Source organism: Homo sapiens, chromosome 3 (assembly GCF_000001405.40).
Source record: "Homo sapiens chromosome 3, GRCh38.p14 Primary Assembly".
In the NCBI taxonomy this organism is placed as follows: domain Eukaryota; kingdom Metazoa; phylum Chordata; class Mammalia; order Primates; family Hominidae; genus Homo; species Homo sapiens.
In genome coordinates, this window is record NC_000003.12 from 38,728,915 (window position 1) to 38,744,766 (window position 15,852).

Sequence of the window (15,852 nt, forward strand, 5' to 3'; positions counted from 1 at the left end):
GAGACCGTCAGGTTTTGGTAGCTGTGCTCATTACCTTTCATCTAAAGTTTTGCCTGGAAACCAAAGATCTGGGAAAAACACAAGGCCTCTCATCCCATTAAACCAGGGCGTTTTCTGGACACTGCTTTTGGAGACCTTTCTTCCTATGCTATAAATTACTCAAAAATATGATCTGCCTTCTATGGTTCATAAGTATCAATGTGCTTCATTGACTGTGGCTGAGTCAGGGTCTTCTACTGGGGTGGTGGCCTTGCGATCTGTACTCTGTTCTATAGCCACAGGCCTGATCCCTCCTGAATATGGGCCTCTTCTGTGGAGGTGGGGTGGGTGTGATGGGGCTCACAAATAAGTGAGAACAAGCTTATTTATGACTGAAGAGAGACCAGCCTCCTTCGGGTAGGGGATGACCCACTGCATTCGATAGGTATTGGCAAAACATCTCTTAGGGCATTTCTCATCTTGGGGCAGTGGACAACATCTGTTGCTCCCACCAGCTTTGAAACTGCAAATGTCCATGATTTCATGGACTCAGCATTCATAAGTTGATTTAATTGACCAACGAACCTACCCCCCAGAACTCCAGCCGTGCAGGTGCATGGCAGTGTGCTAGCCTATGAGGTGTATGAAGAGAGGTGTGTGGGCTCTTGCTCTCATGGAACCAATGGTTTAGTTACTGAGAAAAGATGAAGTCTCAAAAGTCTTCACTGTAAACTCAAATATGCTAAGTCCCACAAGACAGCAAAATCATCAAGCATAAAAATGTATGTGTTTTAAAATATATTTGTATGGTTCTCTAATTTGTCAGGAAAAAAAATCTGAGCTCAACTGTCAGTCTGTCAGTCAAGGTGTGTTTATGGAGCACCTACTAAGAGCCAGGCTGTGGCTTAGGTGCTAGGATGCAATGCTGAACACAACAGTGTAGCTACAATTTTATCACCCATATCCGTGAGTAAATCCCACGGGAGGAGGTTTAATCCTGTTATACAGTAAGTGCTGTATGCACCTCTTTATGTGATGGGGGAGAGCGGGTCCACGTTCACCTTACACCCAATCTGGAAGTTACTCTCCTCATATGGGAAGCAGAGCTTAAAACAACAACTCTGTGGACTGGTCACAGAGGCAGCTGATAAACACAAATAAAAACTGAGCATTAGTAACTAGTATGGGGAGCAGGAAACGTAGTCCATGGCCTGCCGAAGGTTGTAAGCCTAGCAGGAATTTCTCCCTGCTTTAAGACTAGATCCCAAAGAGCTATACCCTTCATGTAAGGATGAACCACAAACAATCCCAGGAGAATGCAAGGAAAATTGAATGGCTGGTGTTAGGTACCAGCTACAGGAGGAAAATTGACGCTGAGCATTTGAAACAACAAAGTGGTGCTCATATAGGATTTTATCTGGAATTCACACTACCTAGGTATTTTAAGTTGAGAATTTAATTTAGAGCAATTCTACAAAGTGCTCTGCAGAATTAAATGCAAATACCTCTGGAGGAACCTGCCTTTATCTCAGGTTTCAAACTATTCCCTCAAAAATTGTTTAAGAGTTGCAGTAAAAAAACAAACAAAAACAGAAGGAATGAGTCATCAAGAGTGAATGAGATCTTGAAGAAACCACAGATGTGGAAATAGTCATTCCATTTCTTCAGATGATAGAATTATTAGTCAGAGATAACAGTATAATTAGATATAATATGTTAAAGAAATAAAATAATAACTTGAAACTATGTGCAGAGAATAAAAAAACTATAGATAACAATAACAAGTTGTGAAAAATACACTCTTAGAAATGAAAAATATAATACTTAAAATTAAAAATATTATGAAGAAGGTTTGCATCAGATTTGACACAGTTTGGGAGAGAATTAGTGAACTGAGGATATATCAGAATAAATTATTCAGAATGTAACCTAGAGAGACATAAGATGAAAAATAACAAAATAGTGTAAGAGACATAGAGGATAGAATGAGAGAGTTTAACATCTATCTAACCAAAGTCCAGAAGGAGAAAAAATAGAATGGCGTGGAGGCTATGACTGCCCACATCATGTCTGGGAACTTTCCAGAATTGAAGAAAATTACAAAACTAAAGATTCAAGAAGTCAGTATATCTTAAGCATTATAAATGGAAAGAAGTCCACACCTAGACATATTACAGTGAAACTGCAGAACACCAAAGATGGATAGAAGATTTAAAAAGCATCCAGAAAGGAAGGAATAACAGTTAAATTGAAAGCTGACTGCTCATTAGCAACAATGGAGGCTAATTGTTGGAATACTATCTTCACTGAAGGAAGATAAAGTATCAACTAGAATTTTACATTCATAAGAAATGTCTCTCAAAGACACGGGCAAACTGAAGAGCAAATTTCAGATAAACAAAGAGGTTATGGCCAGAAGGCACTTACTAAAAGAAATTCTAAAGGAGGTACTTCAGGTAGATAGAAAGTGATCCCAGAAGTAATATGTAATGTGTAATATACAAGAATGTGAAACTGTGCTCCAAAGGGTTGAAGAAATCAATAACTAAATTTTTAGGCTTACAGGATACCAGATAAGAAATAACTCACTGAAAATCTGAAACTCAAACTGTGTTCCAAAGAGTAAGAAATCAGTAACTTACAAAAATTCTTGAGTTTTTAGGATAGCAGATAGGTAAAGAAACAACTTGCTGAGACACTGAAACTCCCTCCCCTTGTGTGATGATGAAAAAACAGGCTGAAATCAATTGGAACCAGGATGGCCGACTGGAGTTTGTGCAGAATGAGCTTGCTGACGTCATGGACTGAATTTCCACTTCATATTGCATACTAACTCCCCCCAGATTTGCATATGCAACCCATGAGTAAGCATGAAGAGATAACTGTGCAGGCCCATGGACTCTCCAAACCTCCCCTTTCCTTCCACCAATCACCTGCAAATCCCGGTATCCACCCACTAAACATTTTCTAATAAAAATACTGCCTTGAAGACAGCACAGGGAGACAGATCTGAGCTTGACCTCCTGTCTTCTTGCCAGCCAGCTTGCAGTATTAAGCTTTTCTTTTCTCAAAAGCCTGGTGTCCTCGTCTTGGCTTCCAAAGTCATAGTATTGGCTTCTAGAGCATTGGGCAGTGAGCCCCCACTGGCTCTATAACAAAGGTATAAAGAGCAAGAAAGTGCTAAGCATGAGAGTGAATCTAAATAAACATTGAGTGGACACAACAACAATGTCTTGTGAGATGTGGAAGAGACTGGTCATATAGTCTCCATTCACTTTTCTCCTCCCAGACACAACGGAAGACTGTTTTCCAGTTTTGCTTGCAAATAGTTGGGGTCATGTTAGTGGGTTCTGTCTGGTGGAATGGAGATGGAGACAGAAGTAATATACATGACTTTTAGGCATAGCCTTAAACCCCCTGAACTTTTTCTTTCCCTTTCATGTTCACCATAAAGGTCACTAACTGAAGATGGTGACATCACGATATGGGATAATCCTAGATCCTTGAGGCGCTACTTGAAGTAGACACTCCCAGGAGAGCTTCCCAACAAGCACTGAATGTGCTGTGAGACATACATCTCTATTATGTTAACTCACAGATTTAGAGGGTATCACTGCAGCTAGTTGTACTTATCTTGAGTAATGGAGAAATTGCTTCATTGAAAAAAGGTATTGCCTTTTCAAAAGCATCAACTATGTGGCACTGGCTTAATGATCATGTGGTGGGCAACAAGGAAGCTGATAGGAGAAGGCTTGGAATGTCAATCTATGTTATTCAGTGACAAAAATATTGCTGGCAAAAATTTTGAGGCAGAGCACGAGCCTCATGAACCAGCAACCCTAGGGGAAGGGTTTATTAAACCTTAGTATTGTGGGTCAGTTGTAATTGGCTATGTTGGTCAAGACAGTACAAGAAAGAGATTAGCTCAGGAAAGATTTAGCTGGTTTATAAGAATAAAAGAAAATATAATCCAGAAGTTTAGAGCCTTGACGATTTAGGGAACTGTACTGCTTCTAGATTCCAGGCAGTGAGCAATGGGATTAAGTCTTCAAATGTTGAAGACTAGTTAAATTTTCCAATTAAATGAAACAACTCTTAGCAAAGCTTGTAGTAATGGTGTAGCCACTGTTTCTTGTGCAAGAGAAAGGCATGGGGAAAGGAAAGCAAAGAAATAAAGAACAATTGAGAACTTTGTCAAAGAAAGCACTTTGTGTGGCAATGAGAGGTCTGAAGCCATCTAAGTTTTTGAAGTAATTGTATTGTGAAATAAATCAAAATCCCTGACTGAAAAAGCCTTTCACTGTTTAAACCTTAAAACAAACCTTGGCTTTCCATTTTCCCACAAGCAGGAGGCAAACTTTGAAGTTATATTGGCCTCCTTCAGGCATGGCAAAGTCACTTCTTGGAGTCCCACCTAGAGCTGTCTGGCTTGCATTAGGCTATGATACGAGTGAGAAATAAACCTTTATTGGGGTCAGTTACTCAGTTTTAGAGATTGTCTGTATAATAGGTAGCTTTATTTTTCATTGATTAATAAAAATTTTTATAAACAAGATAAAATTAAAATACTTATCATTACAATAAATTGGGAAAGGATATCTGGAATGAAAAGTTGTCTTGGAGGAAGGTTAAAGATTTTAGCTAACTTTTGGCTTTGATTAAGTTAACTAATGGAGAGTTAATTTATGCTGTAATTTCTGCAGCCACGACCTCCTGGGCTCAAGTCATCCTCCCACCTCAGCCTCCCAAATAGCTGAGACTACAGACACGTGCCATCATGCCCAGCTAATTTCTTTCCTTTTCTTTTTTAAATTTAAAATTTATTTATTTATTTATTTATTTTTGAGATGGAGTTTTGCCCTTGTTGCCCAGGCTGGAGTGCAATGGTGCAATCTCAGCTCACCGCAACCTCCGCCTCCCGGGTTCAAGCAATTCTCCTCCCTCAGCCTCCCAAGTAGCTGGGATTAAAAGTATGCACCATCACACCTGGCTAATTTTGTATTTTTGGTAGAGATGGGTCTTCTCCATGTTGGTCAGGCTGGTCTCGAACTCCCGACCTCAGGTGATCCGCCTGCCTGCGCCTCCAACAGTGCTGGGATTACAGGCATTAACCACTGCCCCTGGCCTTCTTTTTATTGTTTTCAATGAGACGGAGTCTCGCTCTGTTGCCCAGGCTGGAGTGCAGTGGCATGATCTCAGCTCACTGCAACCTCTGTCTCTGGGATTCAAGCAATTCTCATGCCTCACCCTCCTGAGTAGCTGGGATTACAGGTGTGTGCCACCACACCCAGCTAATTTATATATTTTTAGTAGAGATGGGGTTTTCTCCTGTTGGCCAGGCTGGTCTCCAACTCCTGTCCTCAAGCAATCCTCCCACCTTGGCCTCCCAAAATTCTGGGATTACAGGCGTGAGCCACCCCACCTGGCCCCCTTGGCTTTAAAAAAAAAATGGCATAATCTTGGAACCTTGATACCAAAACCTGGCAAGGACAATGAAAGTCAGGAAAATTATAGATCAAATATTACTCATTGATATGGATAAAAAAATCTTAAGCAAATTTTTAGCAAACTAAATCTTCCAATGTATTAAAAAATGCATCACGATCAAGCTAGGTTTGAGCTGGGAATGTAAAGTTGATTTAACATTAGAAAATCAATTAATATAATTCACCACTTTAACAGATTGAAGGAGAAAATACATGATTATCTCAATACATGTAGAATAATTGTCTGATAAAATTAAACATCCATTCATGATAAATATTCTTGATAAAAGAGAACTTCCTGAACTGATAAAGATTTCTTATCTTTAAAAAAAGCCTGCCACAATTGTTAGAGGTGGTGAAATATTGAAAGGATTCTTTTTGGGATCAGAAAATTGATAAAGATACCTGTTATTAACACTTCTTTTCAACAGTGTACTGGATGTCCTAACTAGCACAGTGATCTAGTAAAAAGAACCTAATGGCATAAGGATTAGAAAAGAAGAAATTAGGCTGGGCGTGGGTGGCTCATGCCTGTAATCCCAGCACTTTAGGAGGCCAAGGCAGGCAGATCATGAGGTCAGGAGATCGAGACCATCCTGGCTAACACGGTGAAACCCCGTCTCTACTAAAAATACAAAGAATTAGCCAGGCATGGTGGTGGGTGCCTGTAGTCCCAGCTACTCAGGAGGCTGAGGCAGGAGAATGGCGTGAACCCGGGAGGTGGAGCTGGCAATGAGCCGAGATCACGCCACTGCACTCTAGCCTGGGTGACAGAGCGAGACTCTGTCTCAAAAAAAAAAAAAAAAAAAAGAAAGAAAAGAAGAAATTAAACTCATTGTTATTTTCACATGATGTGATTATGTTAGAAAATTTAAAACATTGTATAGATAAATTATTAGAATTAATAAGAGACATTTCTAGATACAAAAATGTTAAATATCAAAATGCTAGCCAAAAATGCCAGAAAAGAACATTTAAGAAGATATGCAAGATCCTATGGAGAAAATTATAAAAACCTCATGGAAACATTTTTAAACTTTATTGAAAGACTGGTATACAGCGTATACTATCTTCATAGATCAGAAGACTGAATTATGTAAAGATTATAAGTCTTCCCAAATTGACCTATCAATTACAGCAGTCCCTAATGGGAAAAACAATAGCAGTTTTGTGTGTATGTGGGTATGTAACTTGGCAAGATAATTCTAAAGTGAATATGAAAGTGTGCAGGCCAAGATATTCTTGAAGTAAATTAGGTGGATTACTTGATTTACAGACACAGATATATTTAAAGCTGCCATAATTAAGACTGATATTGGTGCCAGGATAGACCAATGGACTAACAGAGCAAATGGAGCAAGGCTTTAAGTGACGGGAGGAGAAGCAATGCTATTTTGGGAGAGAAGGAAGACAGACTTTTTATTTCTTCCTTTTTCCCTCCACCTTCCTCTCTTTCTTTCCTTCCTTCAATCAATCAACAGGTGTTTATTGAGTTCCTATGTATGTGCTGGGCCTTGTGCTAGGCCCTTGGGATAAAACGGTAGACAAGAAACTCTGGTTTTTGCCTCATGGGATAGCAGGACAATTGTAAATGCCAGGTTAATTTGATGAAGGAATCCAACTTTAGATAGTGTGGTTGGGGAGGTCCCCTCTAAGGAGGTGACAAGTGCATTGAACACAGAGTTTGAGAATAAGTGAGCTAAGTGAAGACTAAAGGAAAAGTATTCCAGGCACAGCGAAAAAAACTTCAAAGGCCCAAAGCCAAGAAGTTCTCTGTTATGTGTGAAGAAGAGAGAGTAGGCCTTTTTGGCTGGAGCAAAGTGGGCAAGACGGAGACTGGTGAACTGGCAGGTCCTGATTATGCAGAACTTTGTACACCATCATGAGGAGTCTGGATTTTATTCTCAGAGCAATGGGAAACCAGTGAAGTTATTTGTAACAAATGTAGGTACTAACATAAGATGTTGGTAATAGGGAAACTCTGTGTGTGTGTGTGTGTGTGTGTGTGTGTGTGTGTGTGTGTGTGTTGTGGGATTGATGGTATATGAAAGCTTTCTGTTCAATCTGCTCCAGTTTTCTGAAAACTGAAAACTGTCCTGAAAATAAAGTCTATTAATTAAAACCAGGAAACTGACCAGCTGGCGGTGATTTTTCTCCAGCATTTCTCACAGCTCAGGTGCAGACAAGGTGGAGAGAAATATTTGACTTAGACTCTCCGGTGAGGTTTTGGCAAACACAAAAACGCAAAGAGGCAGAGGGAAAAGGTGATTGAGTTTGTTTTCAAGGGCATAATAATATTGGTGGGCTGTGAAATCTAAGCTAGGTCATGAGGGAAGTGGAATAGATCCCAAGAAAGTGTGTAGTTGGTGGGTGTGGTTAGGGAATTGAGCACTGATCAGCATGTTAAATCAGCGAGGTGGGGACAGGGTAGCATTCCCCTGCAGAATCCTGTAGGGGCAGACTGTGAAGTAAACTTGCCTATTTTTGGTTGTTTGGGACTTTAGACTGTGGGATCAGAACAAAAGTAGCACATAGACCTTAAAACACTAAGCTTCTGCTTCCCCAAGTGTAGCAGAAATGTTCGTTTTTTTTTTTTTTTTTTTTTTTTTGAGACGGAGTCCCGCTGTTTAGCCCAGGCCGGATTGCAGTGGCGCAATCTCGGCTCACTGTAAGCTCCGCCTCCCAGGTTCACGCCATTCTCCTGCCTCAGCCTCCCGAGTAGCTGGGACTACAGGCGCCCGCCACCGTGCCCGGCTAATTTTTTGTATTTTTAGTAGAGACGGGGTTTCACCGTGTTAGCCAAGATGGTCTCGATCTCCTGACCTTGTGATCCGCCTGCCTCGGCCTCCCAAAGTGCTGGGATTACAGGCGTGAGCCACCGCGCCCAGCCTCGTATTTTATTAGAAAACTAACTGTGGGCCTGCCAGGGTATGGGGGTGTGATATCTCCTGCTCTCTTGACGATTGTGCATAGGTACCTTATATTGACCATTAGCTTAGGGGCCTACATCTTGACATCAATTTCTAGATACCTAGAGAAATCTGTCCTTCTAAAAATGTGATTTAATTCTGACCTTGTAAGATTTTCAAGTTATGGATAAAGAGTCCTACCAGGCCTACTCTACCCTTCTCCTCCCTGGGATGGTGACAGTACCATCAGCTTAGGCAGATGCCATCAACCAGCGTTTCATGGCACAGCTGTGTCTCAGGACATGCTTTATTTGGTCTTTAGAGTGTTTTTAAAAACTGGATTAGTAGCCAATATTAAAGACATTTGCACAAAAATCTGGATTTCTGACTTTTTTGGAAAATTAGTAACTCTGACAATAATGGACAGGCCATAGCTCGTCCTTCCCTCCCTCCCTCCCTCTCTCTCTCCCTCCCTCCCTCCCTCTCTCTCTCCCTCCCTCCCTCCCTTCCTCTTTCTTTCTTTCTTTCTTTCTTTCTTTCTTTCTCTTTCTTCTTTCTTTCTTTCTCTTTTTCTTTCTCTCTCCCTCTTGCTCTCTCTCTTTCTTTCATCTGTCTTTCTCTCGCTTTTTCTATCTTTATTCCTCTCTCTCTGTGTCTCCTTTCTTTTTTGAGACAGGTTCTTACTCTGTCTCCCAGGCTGGAGTGCAGTGGCACGATCATGGTGCACTGCAGCCTCCACCTCCCTGGTCTCAGGTGATCCTCCCACCTCAGTCTTCTGAGTAGCTAGGATAACAGATGTGCACCACCATGCCTGGCTAATTTTTTCATTTTTTGTAGAGACGGGGTTTCACCATGTTGCCCTTGAACTCCTGGGCTCAAGCGATCTGCCTGCCTCGGCCTCCCAAAGTACTAGGATTACAGGTGTGAGCCACTGCACCTGGCCTGAGATGGTCACATTGATTTCTATGTAAACATCCCTCCCAGGAGTTGTGCACTGCTTTGGGTCTGCCTAGGTGAAATGGAGTCATCTTTGCCTGTCTACCTGAGGCAAATATCCAGTGCCCACATCTCTTCCATGGCTGGCTCTATGTCACTGCACATGGGCATTTGAGTTTGCCACCCCTAATCCAGGTACGCCAAGTTCAGGGGCTCAGCACTGTCTCACTGGCCCCTGTGATAGGGTCCCAAGCAGATCTGTCCTAGAGTCTCGTTGCCTCCTGAACCATGCACCCCCTTCAACCTCTGGATGCCAACACTTGTCAGGACCTTGGGAAGATTGTTGGATACTCCCCTTTGTTTTGTCACCTCTCTTCAAGTCTAGATGCAGGGCTCCCAGTTAATACTGAGAGATTCCTGAGAGCAGGCGGCCTGCGCTAACAAGCCGTGACATTTCTTCAGGCCTCTTTCCTATTCCCAAGAGTCAGTGAGATGCCAAGCTTCCTCCAGATGGCCTGGAGACCTAGTGACCCGACACTCCTGGGAATCTGACAGGTTTGGCTGACAAACCTGTGGCTCTGATAAAAGTGGGTGGCCTGTGGCACTTCTCCTGTAGAGGGCGTCCTGGAGCTGAGTTTAGAGAAGAGCCATCATTGCATGTGAGTGAGACTAATAGGCAGGTTGAAGGTGCTTGAGACATTGGGGCTGTGATTTCGGGCACAAGGGAATCAGAGAATGACTTCCTTGAGGCTGGAAGGAGCTGGGGCTCTGGAGTCAGACAACCTGGATTTGAGATCCAGGTCTGTGGCTTATTCGCTTGCTTGGCAGATGGGAGACTTTCGGGTCATCATGGAACCATTCTTTTTCCTCACCCACCCCTGAGGATCTTAAAAACGACTATCTCTCAGGGTTGTTGTGAGCATAAAATGAGGTGCGTTTTTTCAAGTGTCCAGTGCTATGCCTGACACATTGTAAGTGCTCAGTAAGTATTAGCTGCTGTGATTATTGCTGTTATTGTTATTTGATAAGAGACGAGGACAGTGCTTGGAAGTCCCCTCTTGGTGCAGATAAGGGAGCCAAGGCCCAGAAAGGAGAAGGCATGTCCCCACTCTGAGTCAGCGAAAAGCTGGGGCCACAGACCCAAGTCTCCAGTCGCCCAGGAGTCAGACCCTGCTCCCTCCCACAAGGACAGGAGAGGAAGGGGGAGCTGGCTGGTGCAGTCCCCAGAGCACAGTGTCTTCCCTGAATCTGGGTGGGAGTTTCCCCAAGCCATCAAGAGAAAAACATTACCAAGCGGAAGCTCCGCAGCACAGACAGGCTTCCCTTCTTGGCCACGCCCAGCTCTAGCAGACTCACAGTGACGATGATGCAGTCAAAGATATTCCACTTCTTCTGGAAATAATAGTATGGGTCGAAGGCAATGATTTTGAAGACCATTTCAGCAGTAAAAAATATGGTAAAGACCTAGGAGTGGAAACAAGCTTTCATCACAGTGGGATCTGTGGGGTCGGAGGCAATGATAAAAATGGCAGCAAGAAAATGTCTTATTTACAAAATAGAAAATCCTTTTGTTTTGTTCAGTTGCTATGTTATCTGTGGGCTCCTGAGGATTGGCCAGGGTAACAGTCAACGTGACAGAATGGAGACATTTCTGCACCATTCTCAGGGGCTGTGCATGCTGCAGTTTTTCCACGTGAATGGTGGTGGGAGTGGAATAAGCGGATAGTCTTTAAGATCATTATTATAATATCATTTTGTCAGTGAAGAGTCAGTCTGGTTCAGTAGTTAAAACGTGTGGGTTGTGGGACATCACAGACCTGGATTAAAATCCCAGCCCAGACATTTCCTAGCTTATGTAAGCTTGGACAAATAATGCATCCTTCCTGTACCTCAATTTCCTCATCTGTATAATGGGCATAAAATGAGCCAATGCATGTGCAGTTCTTAACAAAGGGCCTGGCAGACAGTAATTCATTCATAAGTAACAGTGACTAGTAAGAACAATGATTCATTGCCTCTAAGATTCTTTTAGGCTCTGTGTGTCTCTAATTGTCTTAAATAGGACAGAATTCTGACACTGAGAGAGGTCAGAACCAGGCTCGGGTAACACAACAACCAGCAGGGAAGGGAGACAGAGAAGGAGGAAAGCAACGACCAGGGTCAGGTGCTTTTCCTTCATATCTTTTTATCTGAGCCCCTCACCAGCCTGAGAAACAGACAATGCATCCTTCTTATGGAGAAGAAAACAGGCTGAGAGTTTAAGTGACTTTCTCATGCCACAAGACTGATTCAAAGAGTATCTATGGAGTGTCCCTTGTAGGCAAGTCAGTGTGGTGTGGTGGGGGGTAGGGTTGAGGTCTTGTGTCTTCCAGAGACCTGGGTCCACCCTGGATCCACCCTCACCAGCTATACAATTTTGGGCAGGATATTTAACCTCTCTGAGTCTTAGTGCTCTCTTTTGTCATGTGAGGGTGATGTTAACCTCATAATGTTGTTGTGACACTGAAATAACATTCATAAAGCACCTGACTCATTGCAGGCACCAAGCACATGACTTTCTTGCTTTAAAAAAGTGGCACTTTCCTCTGACACTGTGGGAAAGGCCTTTTCTCTCTCTTGCTTCCACTTTTCTAACTGTAGAATGAGGGTGTGGGCTCAAATGTCTATTCCATAAGGCCCTCTGTGGTCTTAGGCTGACTTCTTGGGAATAAGCATTCTCTTCTCTTTCCATTTTTCCTTTTCATATCAACTTTAGGATGTGACCTCAGCCTAGGTGCTGCCAAAACATGAGGCATGCTGATTCCACCATGTTCCAGAACCTACTGCTGCCCCTTTCACAGCCCTGGATTATGGCGGAGGGAGTGGTTTCTAGGGACAAGTAGTCACATTTCCTCTGGGCCTTCCCCCTCCACCTAAGTCTGCAGCCTATAAGAAGCTGGACCCCAAAGCCAGACAGTTCTGGTGAATCCAGTAGGTCACCTCCAGCTTGGTGGACCCTGCTGCGGACATGAAGGCAGGATGCTGACCCTTTCTAGCTTCTGCCTATCATGTGTGCGTGTGTTTGAACACACACACACACACACACACACACACACACACGCAAGTCTTGTGAGGTGGCTTAATTCAGGGGTTAAGAAAAGCGGGCTTGGCAGCCGGTCTGTCTGGGTTCAAATTCTGATGTGGCCACTAAACTCAACTCTATGATCTTGGGAAGATTATTTAACCTTTTGCATCTCCATTTTTCCATCTGGGAAAGGGAATAACAAGAGTGCCTACCATGTAGGGTTGTTGTGAAAATAAAATGAGATAATCCATGAGAAGCATCTGAGTATTATTACTATTCCTGTGGGTGGGGCAAGGTTGGAGCAGTTGTTGTCCCTCTGAGTCAGATACTTTATCCAGTATATAGTGAAATCCAGTATGGATTGTATCTTGTTAAGAGTAAATAATACTAACAAGTGATGGAGGAAAATTTAAAGCAGCATGATGTCTAAACTAGATGCCAAAGAAAAGTTCCGACTTCCTGATGCTTTTGTTACAACAGCAACCTTGTTTCCATGTTTCCTCCCTTCCACTGTCTTCCCCTTCCCTCCCCAACTCTTTTTCTCCTTAAGTGACAACATTGAAAATCGTGGCTACTGTTAATTGTGGTCATAAAAGTAATTACATTGGAAGGAAACAGACAAGTCCAAAGATTGTCTTTAGATAAAAAAGTGACATTTATCCTCATTTCAAGGTAGAGGCAACTGAGATCCAGAAAATTCAAGTGGTTGTCCTATGTTTTGTAAAGGGCAACTAGCTGCCTCTGGCTCCAGGCTCTCCTGGTTCACTTTCCTGTGCTTGTTCATCCCAAAGCCATTCCCACCAGCTCAGCCTGGGTCCTCCCACACTTGACCTCCTGAACCCAGTGTCCACATGTCTCCTGCACTGCTGCTCTGCTCTCAGCTAACTGGCTCAACACACTAACCAATAAGGGCATGCCCCACCCCACCCGAACTGCACCCTGCCATCATCCCCACCCCGCCCCGACCACGCCAGTGAGGGCAGTACCAGCCAGAGCACTCACGATGTTGCCTATCTGGAGCATGGCTTCGAAGGTAGGGCTCATGCCATGGTGCTCCATGGCCATGAAGATGGTGTTCACCACGATGCACAAGGTGATGGTGAGCTCTGCAAAGGGATCCGTCACAAGCCCAAAGAGAATTGTCTTGAGCTTCACCCACATGGGGCAGCAATCCCAGATCAGATACTTCTGAGACAAGCTGGTCAAGCAGGGTGGGCACTTCTGTTCAGACTCCTCGAGTTCTGCATTATAGTGTGGTCAATGACAGCTGTCAGCCATGTGTCACCTTGGACCCCAATTCTGCGGTCATCCTCTAGACCTTGTTGTTAATAATAAGTACCACCTCCAACATTTTGACTTCAGCCCTCTCTCTGTCTCTGGTATTCATTTCCTATATTTTGAACTCCTTTAGTCCTGCAACTCCAATTAATATCTGCCCCATCCAGTCCTTTAAACTGCTGACATTACATATTTTTACTGCCCATCACCTATATCATGTCCTTACTTCTCAATTTGCCCAGCTTAGATTTCACATCCATCTCTCTAACTACTCCCTTGTAGGCACCCTCAATTCCTTTGCCCCTCTCCTCCTTCATTGTACTTGCCTGGCAAAACCTGAACTGTGAATAGACCCAATTTGTAGACTACTCTGTACTTGCACCCAACCAGCTGGACCTGGCTGGAAAAAATACACAACTATGCTTACCAACCCTCCTAGAGATCTGTGAGCCCCAGCCTTGCCCTGCCCAGAAATCTGGCTGTGTTTCTATATTATATTCCATTCCTTCATTCTTCCAGATGACTGTTTCTCACTTCCTCTTCCCCCGTCTAACCTCCGGCTCTTCTTTCTACTTACTCTCTGTTGATGAGCTCCCTTTTATTTCACTCAGAATATAGACTAGTTCACAAAAGAACTTCCCCTTCTTCCTACCACTAAATCTCTGGCATATCTGCAAGTCCACCTGGTATTCTGTCTTCGTGCCCCACACAGTGCGTGGGTGGCTCTACCCCTCCCACTTGTGCCGGGCTCTTTCCTCTCCCACCTATTCAAGGCCTGCATCATCCAGACCTGTCTCCCTTCCAGACCATTGCCATGAGCAGGTAAACATGCTTTAATTATCTCGCGGCTTTGAAAAAGTCTCTCTGGACCCCATGCTCTCTTTCATTACTGCTTCTTTGACAGTAAAATTCCTTGCAAGAGTTTTCTACACTTAACCTTCTACAGCTCCTTACCTCTTTTTTTCTCTGCAGCCCCTGGAATCTGACTTTAACTGCTTCCAAATTCAAATAATTGATTTCCAGTTCTCATCTTACCCTTATAACATTTGACAGAATTTATATTGTTCTCTTTGAAACCAGTGTTCATTTGGCTCTGGGGACTGCATCATCTCTTGCTTTTTCTCCCATATTTCTCCACTTCTTTTCACTTTCTGTTTTTGTCTCCCTTTTCCTTTCCTGCTTGTAAATGTTGAATAACTCAAGCATTCTCACCTTAGCTTCTCTGTGTTTTTGAATCTCATAGCCCTAAAAAACCATCTCTATGCCAATTCCCACCAAATTATGTGTCCAATTTCTGATCCCTTCCTGAACACTAGGCTTATCTCTCTACCTGCCTCCGTTAAATCTCCATGTGGATGTGTAACTGTGTTCACCTCGATGGAGGGCAATTTCTTAGCTTTAGGTTTATCTATAAATTCCTCGGCAAGACATGCATCTTGAACAGATATCAGCCTATGTGGGCAAAGAAAGATGATGTCCATTGTTTATAATAATAATGGAAAACAACAACTGATAAAGCATAATACATTGTGAAAAAGAATGAGGCAGATTTATTTGTGGTGATGTAGAAAAATATGTATGTGTAGTGTGTGTATGTGCATGCATGTGCTTATATATGCATAGAACATTGCTTGAAGAATATAAGATAAACTGGAGTGGGAGGGGGGTGCACCAGGAGTCTGGGGAGCAGGAAGGGTCTATAGTGGGAAGGAGACATAGTTGTCATTGCATACACACTTGCAGTGTTTAGGGTTTTTTTTACTATATGCACTTGAAAAATCAGTTTAGAGAAATAACTGTGTGCCCCCAAATTTTGCTAACAGTGTTTTTTCCTGATAATTTAAAAATGTGTATGTAGTCAAGATTTATCAGTAGTATTTTTATTTGTTTTCTTTTTTTTTCAATTTTCTTCATTTTTTTATTTTAAATTTTTTTCTTTTTTTAAATTATACTTTAAGTTTTAGGGTAAATGTGCACATTATGCAGGTTAGCCACATATGCATACATGCCTTACATATGAAGCTTTTCTCACTACAAGGCTTGGAAAATACCTTCTCCATGTTTTTTTCTTTCTTTTGTAGTTTCACTTTTTTCACTTAAAACTTTGGTGCATTTGAAATTTATTTTGGGTAAAGAGTAAGATATTGATGTGGTTTATTTTTTCCTGTCTCTGATTATTTATATCAACATTACTTATTGA

At 42.6% G+C, this 15,852-nt stretch overlaps 1 protein-coding gene across 6 annotated transcripts in view; it reads right to left on the reverse strand.

Annotated features, from left to right (window-relative positions):
* SCN10A (sodium voltage-gated channel alpha subunit 10) overlaps window positions 1-15,852 on the reverse strand; it is a 119,411-nt gene that overhangs the window by 32,108 nt on the left and 71,451 nt on the right. For all 6 annotated transcript variants that reach the window (NM_006514.4, XM_011533994.3, XM_011533993.3 and 3 more), the window contains 2 exon segments: window positions 13,377-13,615; window positions 10,601-10,774 (listed from right to left, as the gene is read on the reverse strand). In NM_006514.4, the coding sequence (NP_006505.4) occupies window positions 10,601-10,774; window positions 13,377-13,615 (413 nt within the window).